At 40.6% G+C, this 13,965-nt stretch overlaps 1 pseudogene, besides 1 other annotated feature; it reads right to left on the bottom strand.

Annotated features, from left to right (window-relative positions):
• Positions 5,240 to 7,099, bottom strand: C18orf32P4 (C18orf32 pseudogene 4; annotated as a pseudogene).
• Positions 13,401 to 13,626: a silencer, noted in NCBI's record as "fragment chr2:203853358-203853583 (GRCh37/hg19 assembly coordinates)". NCBI's record gives its function as "represses an EF-1alpha promoter that drives an FKBP-Casp9 reporter gene in an ReSE screen in K562 erythroleukemia cells {active_cell/tissue: K562}" and the evidence as "EXISTENCE:reporter gene assay evidence [ECO:0000049][PMID:32094911]".

The following is a 13,965-nucleotide window of genomic DNA, read 5'->3' as shown; positions in this document are numbered from 1 at the left end:
TATCAGAACTCCTCAGTTACCCATTTACAGACTCTTTTATTAAAGTAGATTGTGAAGCCAGGTGTGGTGGCTCATGCCTGTCATCTCAATACTTTGGGAAGCGGAGGTGGGAGTCTCACTTGAGGCTGGGAGTTTGAGACCAGCCTGGCCAACATAGCAAGACTCTGCCCCTACGAAATAATAAAAAAATTAGCCAGGCATGGTGGCTTATTCCTGTAGTCCCAGCTACTTGGGAGGCTGAAGCAGGAGGATTGTTTGAACCCAGGTATTTGAGGCTGCAGTAATCCCTGATCATGCCACTGTACTCTATCCTGGGCAACATAGTGAGACTCTGTCTCAAAAAAACTAAAACTAAAATAGATTATGTATTCTTCTGTAGAATCACAGAGCTAAACAACTGAAAGTTACTGTAGAGATCATGTAATTTAGTGGCCCAATTTTAAATATTAAAAAATCAAGGCCTGAATCTGAATCTAACCAAGTCTCTAGACCAGTGCTGTCTGATAGAACTTTCTGCAGTGAAGGAAATGTTCCACATCTGTGCTGTTCAGTACAGTAGGCACTAGCCATATATAGCTATTAAACAATCGAAATGTGGCTTTTGCAACCAAGAAATAAATTTTTTGTTTTATTTAATTTTAATGTACATAGCCACATGAGGTTAATGGTTACTGTATTGGACAGTGAAACTCCAGAGCTAATTTGCATTGTAGAAAACACAGGGGATAGAGGATGGGGAGAGTTGAGAGATACCACCAAGTAATTCATATGCTTAGGAAAGCTTTCCAGTGGAGAGTGTATCTGAGCTAGGTCTTGAAGGAATGTTAGAATTCCAGTGTCCAGAAAGAAATAATAATTCTGAAAAGAGAATGCCTTGGGTAAAAGCTTGACTCCTGAGAAAATTCTCTTCTGTGTTTTGAGAAAACCATAATTTACTTGATGAGTCTATCTGGGGTAGAAGTAGCAAGGCAATCAGCTTGGTTGCAACCAACTCAGCATGGGTCCCTGAATACAGCTCAGTAATTTACATTTCACTTTGTGTAAAATTAAAGTTTTTAGGCAGGGATGTAATAAGATTAAGAATATATTTACTGTACTAGACCTTCTGATATCTTCCCCAGGGCAACATGTAACCATGCGTGTGTGCGCATGCACGCACGCACACACACACACACACACACACACGCACACACATAGAATACAGTAATTAAAATTAAGTTGAAACATGAAAGAAAACCACTTCACTTTCATTTGTAATAAACTTCCCATGCTGGCTGGGAAGTTAATTGAAAGTTAGGACTTCCACATTCTACAGTAGGAAAAATTCTTTAATCAAGAGAAAAAAATGAATTACTGGAAATTCTTGTTTAAAAATTAGCATTTTCTCATTTTAAATTCTTCTTTCCAAATGTGAAGAAAAGAAAAATTTGAGACTAGGGACATTTGTTCTCTTAAGAAAGCAGCTTTCAGCTGGGCGCGATGCTCACGCCTGTAATCCCAGCACTTTGGGAGGCCAAGGTAGGCAGATCACGAGGTCAAGAGATGGAGACCATCCTGGCCAACATGGTGAAACCTCATCTCTACTAAAAAAAAAAAAAAAAAAAAAAAAAAATAGCTGGGCGTGGTAGCGCACACCTGTAGTCCCAGCTGCTCAGGAGACTGAGGCAGGAGAATAGCTTGAACCCAGGAGGTGGAGGTTGCAGTGAGCCAAGATCGCACCACTGCACTCTAGCCTGGCATCAGAGCAAGACTCTGTCTCAAAAAAATAAATAAATAAATAAATAAAATTAAAATGAATTTAAAAAAAAAGCAGCTTTCTTGAAGTTCAACCATTCTAGTTCAAATTTAAGTTAATTGATATCTGAGATCTCTTGTTATGCATCAAGGAACATTTTTTTCCTTTCAGTATTATAATACTAAGATAATTAAAAAGAAAAAAAAACCCTGTTTAAAAAAAAAACACAAAAAAACCTTCGTGTAATTTCTACCACCGTACCTGCTCATCTCAATTAGTTTTTCCCTTTGCTTTCCATAGTAAGAGCAAATAATGCACATTATTTCTTGACATTAATCTATCAGCATTCCTAGGAATTACATCTGGCACTGTGTTTTCTTTCTTTCTTTTTTTTTTTTTGAGACAGAGTTTTGCTCTGTTGCCCAGGCTGGAGTCAGTGGTGCGATCTCAGCTCACTGCAACCTCCACCTCCCGGGTTCAAGCGATTCTCTGCCTCAGCCTCCCAAGTAGCTGGGACTACAGGCGCGCGCACCACCATGCCCAGCTAATTTTTTTGTATTTTTTAGTAGAGATGGAGTTTCACCATATTGGCCAGCCTAGTCTCAAACTCCTGACCTCAGGTGATCCACCCGCCTCAGCCTCCCAAAGTGCTGGGATTACAGGTGTGAGCCACCGAGCCCAGCCCCTAGTTTTTTAGATACTTGTTTTGACTTGTATATTCATTTGATTTATCAGGTAAGATAGTATCAGGTAAATATCTCCTTTTAGTTTTTCTGTTTGAGTAATAAAGCAATTAACAATTATCAATTTATTTGGAATTAAAATTACGAGATTTAGAATTTCTGTGGCAAATGGCTGTAACTATGACTCAGGGCTTTTTCATACTACATCAAAATTTTAACAGTAATAAAATAGGTAACACTTTTTTAAAAAGAATAGATCTGAGATCTAGTAGTTCCTACTTAAATTGACAGTTTGACACATATTAAGGCGGTCAACAGTGATTAAAATAGTAAATGTGCCACAATTTTTAAAAGACATCTCTGAACAAAGTTACATATTTTATTTCTTGTATTTTAGAGCCAGGATCTTGCTCTGTTGCTCAGGCTGAAGTGCAGTGACAGGATCACACCTCACTGCCATCACACCCAGCTGATTTTTAATTTTTTTCTAGAGATGGGGTCTTGCTATGGTTGCCTAGGCTGGTCTCAAACTCCTGGCCTCAAGCAATCCTCCTGCCTCAGCCTCCCAAAATGCTGGGATTACAGGCATTAGCCACCACACCTGGCCTCCTATTTTATTATAATGGATTTAACGTAGGGGAAAAGATCTTTGTTTATTATTACATTCCCATATTTATTTTCTGCCAAAAGGACCATTAGATTTTGTTTATCATATGATTCATCACCATAAACTAGATTAGTAGGTCAAGAAGATTATGGTTTTTCAGCTGTGAATAATCAGATGAAAAATGGTGCCCTAAAGAAATAACAAATGGGGCCAGGTGCAGTGGCTCACACCTATAATCCCAGCACTTTGGGAGGCCAAGGCGGGCAGATCACGAGGTCAGATCGAGACAATCCTGGCCAACATGGTGAAACCCCGTCTCTACTAAAAAAAAATACAAAAAATTAGCCAGGTGTGGTGGCGCGCTCCTGTAGTCCCAGCTACTCAGGAGGCTGAGGCAGGAGAATCGTTTGAACCCGGGAGGCAGAGGCTGCAGTGAGCTGAGATCGCGCCACTGCCCTCCAGCCTGGGTGACAGAACGAGACTCTGTCTCAAAAAAAAAAAAAAAAGAAAGAAATAACAAATGAGGCTGTGGAGAAAAGAGAATGCTTATACACTGTTGGTAGGAATGTAAACTAGTTCAGCCACTGTGGAGAACTGTTTGGAGATTTCTCAAAGAACTTAAAACAGAACTAACATTCAACCCAGCAATTCCATTACTGGGCATCTATTCAAAAGAAAATAAATCGTTCTACCAAAAAGACACATGCACCCATTATGTTCACCGCAGCACTACTTACAATAGCAAAGACATGCCCATCACGGTGGACTGGATAAAGAAAATGTGGTACATATATACAATGGAATACTACATAGCCATAAAAAAGAAGGAAATCATGTCCTTTGTAGCAACATGGATGCAGCTGGACACCATTATCCTAAGTGAATTAACATAGAACACCAAATAATGCATGTTGTCATTTATAAGTGGGAGCTAAACATTGGGTACTCGTTGACATAAAGATGGCAACAATAGACACTGGAGTCTACTAGAGTGGGGAGGGTGGGATAGGGGAAAATGCTGAAAAACTATTGGGAACTATGCTCACTTCCTGTGGGACCAGATCATTCGTATCCCAAACCTCAGTATCACTCGATATACCTACGTAACAAACTGCACTTGTACCACCTGAATCTGAAATAAAAGTTGAGGGCAGGCCTTGGTGGCTCAAGCCTGTCATCCCAGCACTTTGGGAAGACAGCTTGAGTTCAGGAGTTTGAAACCAGCCTGGGCAACATAGTGAGACTCTGTCTCTACAAAAAATAAAAAATAAGAAATTTAGCTGGGTATGGTGGTACACATCTGTAGTCTCAGCTACTCAGGAAGATGAGGTGGAAGATCCCTTGAGTCCAGGAGGTAGAGGCTGCGGTGAGCGATGATCACGCCACTGGACTCCAGTCTGGGCAACAGAGTGAGAGCCTGTGTTGTAAAAAGAAAAGAAAAGTTGAAATTGTAAGAAAAATAAATATGAATGAACCAAAAGCTTGTTTCAGTGTACATTTAGAAGGAAAAGGATAGAACATTTAAGAAAAAAATTGTTTTTTTTAAACTTGTTTTTTAAGTTTCCCAATGAGAAATCAAACAGCCTCTGTAAAGGACATGTCCTTATTTGAATATTTTTTAGAAATAAAAATAACATCACAAAAGCCTAGTTTCCCAATTATATCTTTTTGTGTTTGCAGTTATCCACTCTTATCCTATTAAAAGATTTCTGATGTTATAGTGGATATTGAAAGATCACTTTATTTAGAAAAAGAGAACCACTGGGGTGGAGGTAGAATGGGGAGTTATTGTTTAATGCATAAAGAGTTTCAGTTTAGGATGAAAAAATTCAGGAAGTGGATAGTGGTGATGGTTGCACAACAGTGTGAATGTACTGAATATCAATGAACTGTATACTTAAAACTTTTTTTTTTTTTTTAGACGGCGTCTTGCTCTGTCACCCAGGCTGGAGTACAGTGGTGCAATCTCAGCTCACTGCAACCTCTGCCTCCCAGGTTCAAGCAATTCTTCTGCCTCAGCCTCCTGAGTAGCTGGGACTATAGGCACGCACCACCATGCCTGACTAATTTTTGTATTTTTTAGTAGAGATGGGGTTTCACCATATTGGCCAGCCTGGTCTCAAACTCCTGACCTCAAGTGATCCACCCACCTCAGCCTCCCAAAGTACTAGGATTACAGGTGTGAACCACTGCACCTGGCCTTAAAACTTTTTAAAACCGAATGTTTAATACATTTGTAGGGATAAAAAGAATGCAACAAGAATTAGAATTTTGTAATTACATTAGACATTTATATAGAAGATGTTTCAACAGGGCTTGGTGGCTCACCTGCGTAATCCCAGCACTTTAGGAGGTCAAGGCAGGAGGATCACTTAAGTCCAGGAGTTCCAAACCAGCCTGGGCAACATGTTGAAACCCTGCCTCTACAAAAAATATAAAAAGTAGCCAGGTGCAGTGGCATATCCAGCTACTCAAGAGGCTGAGGCAGGAGGATCACTTGAGTTGAGGAGGTAAAGGCTGTAGCGAGCTGTGTTTGTTCCACTATAGCCTGGGTGGCAAAGCAAGACACTGTCTCAAAAATTAAAAAAAAAATAAAATAAAAATAGTAAAAGTTTAATAATTACTACTCTTATGGACAAGTGGCTTCATTGTGTTAGATGGTAATTATATCTTTATGTTTCACATCATTACCACCCCCCAAAACTCCACCCTTCATTTCACTGCACAGACTCACTGCACTGTTTCACAGTAAAACTCTGCTCCACTCCAATTAGAAGAGCCCAAATAAATTAGAGCAAACAGTAGTCAAATTCATAGGCACAAATGACAGAGGACCAAAGATTTTAAAGTACTGATTTAGTAACAAGAGCATCTACTGGCACAAACCTTCTATTTAATAATATTACTAAAACAGCAATAATAGAAATGAAAGCTACCTTAATGAAAAGGGAATTCAGGAGTGAAGTCATTAAATATAACTAACAACACTTTAAATATGGATTCCATCAATTTCATGATTAGTATCAGGTAAATATCTAATCCATCAATCCTGAATTCTGGTCTCAGAGAAAAAGGTCAGAGAGGATTACAAACAAGGTGCTTCATATTATCAAGTCCTTTTTTTTTTTTTTTTTTTGAAACAGGGTCTTGCTCTGTTGCCCAGACGGAAGTGCAGTGGTGTGATCTCTGCTCACTGCAACCTTGGCCTCCTGGGCTCAAGCAATCCTCCCACCTCAGCCTCCCGAGTTACTGGGACCACAGGTGTGCCGCACTACATCCATTAATTTTTGTATTTTTTGTAGAGATGGGGTCTCATCATGCTGGCCAGGTTGGTCTCGAACTTCTGGCCTCAAGTGATCACCTGCCTTGGCTTCCCTTGATATGGTTTGGCTGTGTCCCCACCCAAATCTCATCTTGAATGGTAACTCCCACAATTCCCACATGTTGTGGGGGGAATCCAGTGGGAGGTAATTGAATCATGGGGGTGGGTCTTTCCTGAGCTATTCTCGTGATAGTAAATAAGTCTCACCAGATCTGATGGTTTAAAAAAACGGGAATTTCCTTGCACAAGCTCTCTCTTTTTGCCTGCCACCATCCAAATAAGATGTGACTTGCTCCTCCTTGCCTTCTGCCATAATTGTGAGGCCTCCCCAGGGTAAGTCCATTAAACCTCTTTTTCTTATATATTGCCTAGTTTCAGGTATGTCTTTATCAGCAGCATGAAAACGAACTAATACACTTCTGAAGTGCTGGGATTACAGGTGTGAGCCACCATGCCGGCAATCAGGTCCATTTTTAAAATGATGAAATCCTCTAGGAAAATCACTTTAGTCTTTTTATCAGAGATGTCTGTTGGCCCTTTTGTTGGTAATCCATTTATGTCTGCATCCTTATAGTCTACTTTGCCATTGGATTCCTGCATAGCTTTTCTAGGCCATAAATGATGAACAAAAGGAGAAATCAGAGAGTATGTGGATGGCTCCAGGAATTTTTTGTAGATCCAGAGCAGGGCTAGAATGATGATTCAAAGGATGCACACCACTGTCCCAGGCTTGAGCTCCTAGACATGAGAGCCCAAGCTCTCCATGTGATAAAACTACTCTCCATGTGGGAAAAAAATAGAGAAAGAAATTTGACCCCCTCTGACACTAAAGTAGAAGGCGGGACTCAACTCTGGACCAGATTGAAGACTGGCTGACACAGGGAAGAGGCGAAAACACTTCTCCATAAAACACAGCCAACAGTGCCATGACAGTTACTCATTCCATGGCAATGACCTGGAATTTACCACCCTTTTTCTAGAAATTTCTGACTAACCTGCCCCTTAATTTGCATGTAATTAAAAGTGAGTATAAATGTGACTTCAGAACTGCCCCTGAGCTGCTACTTTTCACACAATGCCTATAGGGTGGCCCTTGAATTCCTTCCTAGGCAAAGCCAAGAACCTCCCCAGGCAGAGCCCCGATTTTGGGGCCCACCTGCCATGCAAAACCATATGCAGGAAACCACTCCAAGTAGACAGTAGACCGTTAATAAGAAAGGCAAAACCGTAAAGATTTAGCAGATCATATCTGCATGATCTCTGGGTAGGAAATTTTTTTTTAATTGTAAAATACATAACATAAAATTTGCAGCCCATGCGGTAGCTTATAATTCCAACACTGTGGGAGGCTGAGGTGGGAGGATCCCTTCAGGCCGGTAGCTCAAGGACAGCCTGGGCAACATAGGGAGACCCATGTCTCTACAAACATTAAAAAAAAAATTATTGGCCAGGCGCAGTGGCTCACACCTGTAATCCCAACACTTTGGGAGGCTGAGGCAGGCAGATCACTTGAGGTCAGGAGTTCAAGCCAGCCTGGCCAACATGGTGAAACCCTGTCTCTACTAAAAATACAAAAATTAGCCAGGCGCAGGGGCAGGCGCCTGTAATTCCAGCTACTTGGGAGGCTGAGGCACGAGAGTCGCTTGAACATAGGAGATGGAGGTTGCAGTGAGCCAAGATCACGCCACTGCACTCCAGCCTAGGTGACAGAGCAAGATTCAGTCTATAAATAAATACATAATGTATTCTTCCTTATGATGCATTTTAATAGTTCATGAATTGTTAGAGTTAAATCTGGTTATAACATGGTCTATGGAATAAAAAGTCTCGGGTTCAGATCCTAGGTTCCTGGCTTTCTAGATATATGATCTTGGGCAAGGTATTTAATCTTTTTGAATTTATTTGCTTTTATATAAAATTGGGGTAATAATATTCAGGCCAGATGTGAGGATTAAGTTATAAAGCATCTGGCACTCAAAAAATGTTATCTAGCTGGGCATGGTGGCTGACACCTGTAATCCCTGCACTTTGGGAGGTCAAGGTGGGAGGATCACCTGAGGCCAGGAGTTGGATGCCAGCCTGGGCAACACAGTGAGAGACCTGTCTCTACACAAAATTTTAAAAAGCAGGTTAAGGGCCGGGCGCAGTGGCTCCTGCCTGTAATCTCAGCACTTCGGGAGACCGAAGTGGGCAGATCACCTGAGGTCAGGAGTTCGAGACCAGCCTGGCCAATATGGTGAAATTCCGACTCTAATAAAAATACAAAATTAGTCGGGTGCGGTGGCACATGCCTGTAATCCCAGCTACTCGGGAGGCTGAGGCAGGAGAATCACTTGAACCCAGGAGGCGGAGGTTGCAGTGAGCCATGACCGCACCACTGCACTCCAGGCTGGGCAACAGAGCGAGACTCCATCTCAGAAAATATACGTAAAAAATAAAATAAATAAAAAGCAGGTTAAGGTGAGAGGATAGCTTGACTTTAGGAATTTGAGGCTGCAGCGAGCCATGATCGCCCCACTGCACTCCAGACTGGGAGACAGAGTGAGACTCTGAATTTTTTTCTAAAAAACGGAGAAGTTATCTATTATTTTATGGAACTATGTAAGTTATATATGTTAAATGAAGAACATCTTTACTTTACAGCATTGTTGACAGTCCAAATGCTGCTAAGCTTAGGGAAGGGTAGGCAAGTTAAAAGGAAAGTGCATGTTGCTGGGTAGCAAGTCATTAGGTAATTCTTTTTGTTGTTGTTGAGATGCAGTCTCGCTCTGTTGCCCAGGCTGGAGTGCAGTGGTGCGATCTCGGCTCACTGCAACCTCCGCCTCCCGGGTTCAAGCAATTCTCTGCCTCAGCCTCCTCAGTAGCTGGGATTACAGGCGCCCGCCACCATGCCTGGCTAGGTAATTCTTTTTAAACAACTTTTTGAAACACTGAGGTTTGTATTGTAGGTTTTTTTTTTTTTTTTTTTTTGAGACGGAGTCTCACTCTGTCGCCCAGGCTGGAGTGCAGTGGCGCAATCTCGACTCACTGCAAGCTCCGCCTCCCGGATTCATGCCATTCTCCTGCCTCAGCCTCCCAAGTAGCTGCGACTACAGGTGCCCGCCACCATGCCCGGATAATTTTTTTGTATTTTTTTTTTTTTTTTTTTTACTAGAGACGGGGTTTCACCGTGTTAGCCAGGATGGTCTCCATCTCCTAACCTCGTGATCCGCCCGCCTTGGCCTCCCAAAGTGCTGGAATTACAGGCGTGAGCCACCGCCCCTGGCTGTATTGTAGGTTTTACATGTTACTGAAAAAATAAATCATTAAATATATTGTCATTTGCTGTGTAATTTCATGTCTATGTACAAAGTCCATGCAATATTTCAGAAGTTAAAATAATTCCCTTTTTATAACAAGTCATTCTGTGCATTTCTGCTCATTTTCTCTTAAAATAAATGTCTTCAATCCTTTATTATGAGCAGAATTATTTCAAATCTAGGCCAAGTAATTTAAGAATCTAAGATATAATGGTTGTGGCTTAATCTCAAATATAAAAATTACTCACCTAAGTATTAGTAGTAGCTGTCTGATACTATCTGCAAGTTCTTATGTCTATATAACTTCAACTCCTAATTATTTATACATGTAATACTAATAAACATGTCACTTATTCCCTACAATTAAGTGTCTTCAGCTATTAAATAAGAAAATAATATTTACACTTGGCTCTATCCACAGAAATTTTGTGAAGAAAAATTGAGCAACATGTGAATACACTTTGAAATAAAGTAACAAATCCTATCTTATGAGAAAAATACAAAACTCAAATGATGTATAGTATATATAACAGGTTTTTCTACAAACCACGCTTCAATGCTGTCATGGCATACCAGCTGATAAACTGCTCTGCTAGTTTTCTAGGACTGAAGGCCATTTCATATCTGCCCTGGAGAATACAATAGCTAGTTTTAACTATTAGTACAGCAGTAAAAACACACAAGGTTTTCCTTGCATGCCACTCTGGATTTGATTCAACTTCTCAAAAATCTTACGTCCTTAGTTCACCTTTTTAGAAGTTCTTCAACTCATCCCAATATTGCTAACGTAGTACTTCACAAATGCTGTCTTATTCATTGGCTTGATATCTCTGAATTTTAACTACTCGATTCAACTGCTGTAATTTGAATTATTTTGCTCTGTCTTTTCAGTTTAATATTCTAATGTTTTAAGTCTAAATGTTTCCCAAAGTGCCCTGGCACTGAGAGTTAAGAGGAGAAAAAAGGGAAAAGATATTATTCCACTGAAATTTGTATTAGCAACTAGCTGGCTTCCTCAGAGTTCCTCCTAAAATTCATTAACCATCGACATCATTCAAACAAATGAATCCATGCTGCTCACCCTAAAGCACAATGCATGGATTTGCCTGTGTGAAGCCACATGATCACAAATCAGCATCTTCCCTGTGACCTTCAATTTGGTGTTCCTATGTGAACCCACTTATTTCAGTCCTTTTTTTTTTTTTTTTTTAAAGACGGAGTCTCGCTCTGTCGCCCAGGCTGGAGTGCAGTGGTGTGATCTTGGCTCACTGCAACCTCCGCCTCCTGGGTTCAAGCAATTCTCCTGTCTCAGCCTCCTGAGTAGCTGGGATTACAGGCGCATGCCATGACGCCCGGCCAGTTTTTGTATTTTTAGTAGAGACAGGATTTCACCATATTGGTCAGGCTGGTCTTGAACTCCTCATCTCAGGTGATCCACCCGCCTCGGCCTCCCAAAGTGTTGGGATTACAGGCATGAGCCACCGCGCCCGGCCAGTTCTTTATCTTAATGCATGATATGTGTCTCTGAATAGTTCTTTATTATACAGGGGTATCTGAATTTTAGCTGCTCTGGAAGATGGCTATCTTTTTGATGTGGCTCTTTGAACTTCCTAAAGTGGATTTTCATGTGAACCACAAAATCTACAAGTTGGATCATCATAAACATATGCCCCTAAGTTTGGTGAACATTTTTGGTCATTTTTGTATGATTCAGTAATAGAGACTTGATTTAACTTAAATTGATCAACTCAAGGGAAACTTACCTTGTGTTTGGCGATCCAGATTTAAACTTAATGTCATTGTCTTGTCTAATGTCATAACTATATTTTCTTCTGTGTTCCATTTAATTTTCAATTTTCATATCAGAACAAATTATTTGATAATGTCAGGTACATTTGAAGTCATTGGGTAATTACATGTGACGCAATAGTGACACTAAGTAAACGTCTTTTTAAGACTTTGGAGTCAGACAATTCTGCCCTTTCCAGATGACCTGGGGAAAATTATTTACCACTTTGGACCTCTTCATCTAAAAAAAATGGGACACAAAATCTCCAATTCCTTACAACCTGCCTACTCCTTTCAAAGGTGAATTAAAAAAGTGAAAAATTCATTCCATTGTGTTGGGAGTTAGGTTTCTATTGGAAGAGAGGGGGAAAAAACCCATCATATTGGGAGAGTTGGTTAATTGAAAAAATATCTACTTAAACTTATCCTCTGCAACAAAATAATTTCACTATACTAAAAACAACACATAAGAAAGCTATAGGAAATTTTAGATAAATGTTTATCTTCTATCTAGTTGGAGGAGAATTGTTTAAGCACAGAAGTCATCAAAATTAAAAGGCAAACTACAAACCAGGAAAAGTAACAGAGAGTTGATACACTTAATATATAAAACATGTTGCACTTCACACAATAGCCTTGAAGAAAAATGAGATGAACCTAGTATAGTGTGACATGGTAACAAATCTCAGACTAAAGTAGGTGTCCACAATTAAAACAACAAAACTATGCATTACACTGCTATATAATAAATAATTTGACTTTCCTTTATCTGTGGTTCCTGATAGTGAATCTTGGAATTTCCCAAGTACTAGGAGTGTATTTGTTATTCATGAGCGCCTTGAATCACACCTGAGTATATGCAATGAGATGACACATAGTGGGTCCCTAGATAGCTTCAGGATGGGAGCTAGTCATGCTATAAAGACCAAACATCTAATTAGAGGGTTGGGTTGGGGCTTTGAGCCAATGATATCAACTCAGCCTTCTGTCCTCCAGGAAAGACAGGAGGACTGAAGAATTAGTCCAATCATGGGCCAATGATTGAACCAATCATGCCTATGTAATAAAACCCCCTGAAAACTCTGGACATGAAACTCAGTAGATCTTCCTGGTTGGTGAATACATTGATATGAAAAGTGAATAACATGTCCTGATTCTACGAGAGGGCACAGAGGTTCTGCATTCAGGACCCTCACAGACCTCATCTTACGTATCTGTTCATTTGGTCATTTCTGGTTTGTATCCTTTCTAATAAAACTGTGGTTGTAAGTATAGTACTTTCCTGAGTTCTGTGAGTTGTTCTAGCAAATTATCAAACCTAAAAGGGGATGTGAGAACCTCTCAGATTTGTAGTCAGTTGAAAGTGCAGGTGGAGCTGGGAGTGGTGGCTCACGCCTGTAATCCCAGCACCAGCACTTAGGGAGGCGGGCAGATTACCTGAGATCAGGAGTTCGGAGACCAGCCTGGCCAACATGGTGAAACCCCATCTCTACTAAAAAATACAAAAATTAGCTGGGTGTGGTGGCACATGCCTGTAATCCCAGCACTTTGGGGGGCCAAGGTGAGTGGATCACCTGAGATCAGGAGTTCGAGAGCAGCCTGGCCAACATGGTGAAACCTCGTCTCTACTAATAATACAAAAATTAGCCAGGTGTGGTGGTGGGCACCTGTAATCCCAGCTACTCGGGAGGCTGAGGCAGGAGAATTGTATGAACCTGGGAGTTGGAGGCTGCAGTGAGCCAAGATCATGCCATTGCACACTAGCCTGGGCGACAAGAGTGAAACTGCATCTCAAAAAAAAAAAAAAAAAAAAAAAAAAGAAAACAATTTAAAAGTGGGTGAGCTATGATGCTGGCTGTGGTTAAAAAAAAAGAATAAAAAACAAATAAGAAAACAAAAATAAAAGTGGGCAAGGCTGGGCACGATGGCTCATGCCTGTAATCCCAGCACTGTGGGAGGCCAAGGTGGGTGGATTGCTTGAGCCCAGGAGTTTGAGACTAGCCTGGGTAACATGGTGAAACCCCGTCTCTACAAAAAATTAGCCAGGCATGGTGCGCATGACTGTAATCCTATCTACTAGGGAGGCTGAGGCAGGAGAGTTGCTTGAGCCTGGGAGGTGGAGGTTGCAGTGACCTGAGATCACACCACTACACTCCAGCCTGGGTGACAGAGCAAGACCTGGTCTTAAAAAAAAAAAAAAAAAGTGGGCAAAAGATTCAGACACATCAATAAAGAAGATATAGAGATAAAGATGGCAAATACAACATGAAAAGATGCTCAATAGTGGTTATTAGAGAAATGGAAATTAAAACCACAGTAAGATACTACTACCCACCTATTAAAATCTCTAAAACCTAAAAACTGTTCATAACAAGTGTTGGCTAGGATATAGAGAAGCTGGAACTTTCATACACTGTTGGTGGGAATATAAATTGTTACAACTACTTTGGAAAATCTTTTGGCAGTTGGTTAAAAAGTTAAATATATACCTAACATATGACCCAGGCATTCTACTCCTAGATGTTTACCCA

This window comes from Homo sapiens, chromosome 2 (genome assembly GCF_000001405.40).
Source record: "Homo sapiens chromosome 2, GRCh38.p14 Primary Assembly".
NCBI lineage: Eukaryota > Metazoa > Chordata > Mammalia > Primates > Hominidae > Homo > Homo sapiens.
Note: the sequence above shows the minus strand (reverse complement) of the source record. Positions and strands in the feature narration are given on the sequence as shown.